The following is a 4195-nucleotide window of genomic DNA, read 5'->3' on the forward strand; positions in this document are numbered from 1 at the left end:
AAATACATGACAAAAAATAACACTAAAGTCACTAAGCTTGCATATTGAATTAGTTTTCTAGGATCCTAACACCGAAAAGAATATAACATAAATGTGTATTTATACTCTTTTAAATAATCAGAGGAAAATGCTGTAATCTGTAGTTAAATTACTAAGTCAAATAATATATAGCTAAAAAGTTGCTGTAGAAGAGTAATGAAACAGGAAAATATAGTAAATTGAATGAAAAGAATGGAAGACAGTGAAACAAAAAGAAATAAAGAATGGATGAGACAACTAGAAAATGAATTTCAAGTTAGTAATTTAAACCACACATTTCAATAATGTCATTAGGTTAAAATAATATAAAACTCCAGTTGTAAAGCAAACTTTGTCTGACTTATAAATACAACAAAATGTCACTCTCTGCTGGTTGAAAGAAACACAACTTAAATATATTTTAAAAATTGACAGTAAAGAAATGAAAAGGATATGTCACCCCTATGTTTATCAAGCGTAAGCTAGTGGAGCTATAGTTGATATCATGTAGTCATTATTAGAGATAGAGAGGTATATTTTAGAGTGATGAAAGGGCTAATTCATAGGAAGATATAAAAACTCTTACTGGGCCAGGCGCAGTGAGTGGCTCATGCCTGTAATCCCAGTACTTTGGGAGGCCGAGGCGGGAGGATCACAAGGTCAGGAAATCGAGACCATCCTGGCAAACACGGTGAAACCCTGTCTATACTAAAATACAAAAAATTAGTTGGGCGTGATGGTGCGTGCCTGTAATGTCAGCTACTCAGGAGGCTGAAGCAGAGGAATCACTTGAACCTGGGAGGCAAGGATTGCAGTGAGATCGTGCCACTGCACTCCAGCCTGACAACAGAGCTAGATTCAAAAAAAAAAAAAACCTCTTACTTAGTATAAATTGAAAATCAAATAGCAAAACATAAAGCTACCCTCCACCCCCCAAAAATAAAACCATACTTATTGTCAGAGATTTAAATACACTTCATCTAGTAACTTATTGAAAAATGGGACAAAACATCATTATGGTTACAGAAGATTTAAACAGCATATTTAATTATAGCTAGAATTTACTGAAAATGAGTCACTGGAAAAATACCTAAAGGTTTAGAAATTAAGCAATATAACTCTAAATAACTTATAGGCCAAAAGATAACTCACAATTGAAATAAGTATTTAATCTGACAAATATTTTGTAATACAGCAAAATTTGTTGATACACACATAATCAGAGTTATATGGAGAGCCTTAAATGTATATATTAGAAGATGGAAATTATTCATTTAAGTACTATTTTTAGAAGTTTTGAAAAAAAGTAAAGGCAAAGAAAATAGTAGACAATAAAAAAGTATGCTAAGAGCAGAAATGAATGAAATAGGAGAAATAAAATAAATAGAAATAAGAAATTCAATTTTGGTTCTTTGAAAACACTAGTAAATTTGGTAAATACCTGACAAAACTAGTTGAGACAAATAAGTTAGAGACAATAGAGAATACTCACGTTTTTAATGGATATTACTACAGATCCTACTAAAAATAAACAGAGATAAATAAGATATGAACAACATTTTTACCAATAAATTTGAAAATGCAGATCAAATAAATTTCCAGATAATCCTAGATGGACAAAAGATTTTTTAAATATTCAGCAATCATTTAAAATATAAGGTCTAGATTGAGGGTCAGCAAATTCTTACTTAAAGGGCAAGATAGTAAATATTTCAGGTCTGTAAGCCATACAGTTTCAGTCATAACTCTCCAGCCCTGCTGTTGAAGCATGTAACTGCCCAGACAATATGCAAATAATCGCTATTATGTCTCAATACAATTTATGAAAATAGACTATAGTTTGCTAATACTGCTCTAGCAGGTCCTCACAGTGAACATAAGAGAAAAATTAACTGCAGCTTCCAGAACGGAGTGAGAAAATGCATTTGCACTATGCCAGAACACCTTTCTCCTAACAATCCTGCTGTCAGAAAAAAACAAAACTAAACTAAATGAACAAACAAACAAAAAAGATTTTACCGGAGCCTAACTTGCTGGGGTTTTATCAGTGCCTAAACATTTAGAGGAAGGAAATACCCAACTTCATCCCCTTATAGTCATCCTATCCCACCTAAGGGGTAAAGTAAATACTGAGAAGCACAGATAAAGTTCACAATCCAGAGACACAGCTTACCAAAGGGTGACATAGTTATAAGACTATAAAACATGTCCTTATAGTCTTATGTGCCCCACCCCATTTACCCCATGTGCTTCACCCCCTTACCATTATAATACTAAAAGCCTACTTACCCTAGTTTCATCTACCCAGTACATCATGGCAACCAACCTTTCAACAAAAAGTTACAGAATATATTAAAAATACAAAAAATACCAGCTTAAAGAGAACAAATACACACCAGAACCAGAGTCAGAAATGACAGGAATGTGGAATTATACAAGAAATTTAAAATAAATATGCGAGGGCTTTATTAGAAAAAGTAGAAGGCACGAAAGAATATATGCACAATGTAAGCAGGGAGATGGACAGTCTAAGAAAAAAATGATAATAATAGAAAACCTTGTAACAAAACTAAAGAATACCTTGCATGAACTCATTAGTAGACTGGACTCCACAGAGGAAAGTATTTCTGAGTTTGAGGATATGACACTGCCTACTTCCAAAACTAAAAAGAGAAAAAATGGCAAAAACAAAACAATACAGAAACAAAAATCAGAATAGAATTTACAAAAAATATGAAACAACTACAAAAAAATGAATATATGCCTAATTAAATACCAGAAGGAGGAGAGAGGAATAAAGCAATATTTAAAGCAACAGTGTCAGCAAATTTCCCCGAATTTATCAAGCACCAAACCATAGATTCAGAAAACTCAGAGACCAGACGCGGTGTCACATGCCTGTAATCCCAGCACTTTCGGGGGCTGAGGAGGGCTGATCACTTGAGGTCAGGAGTTTGAGACCAGCCTGGCCAACATGGTGAAACCCTCTCTCTACTAAAAACACAAAAATTAGCCAGGCATGGTGGTGCATGCCTGTAATTCCAGCTACTCAGGAGGCTTAGGTGGAGGATCACTGGAACCCGGGCTGCAGAGGTTGCAGTGAGCCGAGATCATGCCACTGCACTCCAGCCTGGGCAAGAGAGTTAGATTCTGTCTCAAAACAACAACAACAACAAAAACAAAAACAAACAAAAACAAGGAAACAAAAACTCAAAACCAAACCAAAAGCAGAGTAAGTGCAAAAAAAGATAGAGGAAAAAAAAAAGAACACACCTGTATCTAGACATATAATATTAAAACTTCAGAAAATCAAAGATAAATGATATTGAAAGAAGCCAGAGGGAGGAAAAAAGGTGCACAATTATTTATATAAGGGCCAATGTAAGATTAATACCTCATTCTCCTCAGAAACCATGAAAGCAAGAAAATAGGGGACTGAAATATCTACCACACTGGGAGATAAAAAATGTAAACCAAAATTTTGGTACCTACCAAAACTATTCTTCAAAAGTAAAAAATAATAATAAAACCTTTCTCTGGCACACTATATTGAGGAAATTTGTTGCCAGTACACCTGCCTTGCAAAAAATTGTTAAAAGAAGTTCTTGGCTGAGGCATGTGGATCACCTGAGGTCAGGAGTTCCAAACCAGCCTGACCAACATGGAGAAACTCTGTCTCTGCTAAAAATACAATATTAGCTGGGTGTGATGGTGCATGCCTGTAATCCCAGCTACTCGGGAGGCTGAGGCGCGAGAATCGCTTGAACCGGGGAGGTGGAGGTTGCAGTGAGACGAGATTACACAATTGCACTCCAGCCTGGGCAACAAGAGTGAAACTCCATCTCAAAAAAAAAAAAAAAAAGAAAAAGAAAAAGAAAAAGTTCTTCTACAGAGATGGAAAATGACATAGGCCAGAAACTGAGCTCTACATACAGAAAAGAAGAATGTTGAAGAGTTGAAGAATAAATAAGTAAAGATAAAAAGTTTCATGTTTCTTATTCTAAATTGATCTAACAGATAAGAGTTATTCAAAGTAATAATAATAGCAAAATTCACACAAGAAAGACAATCTGCATAGGTCTCTCTATATATATATCTATTAAATAAATTGAATCAGTAATGAATACACTTCTTAAACAAAAAGCACCATACCAGGATGAGTTCACTGGCAAATTTT

This window comes from Homo sapiens, chromosome 3, assembly GCF_000001405.40.
Source record: "Homo sapiens chromosome 3, GRCh38.p14 Primary Assembly".
Taxonomy (NCBI): domain Eukaryota; kingdom Metazoa; phylum Chordata; class Mammalia; order Primates; family Hominidae; genus Homo; species Homo sapiens.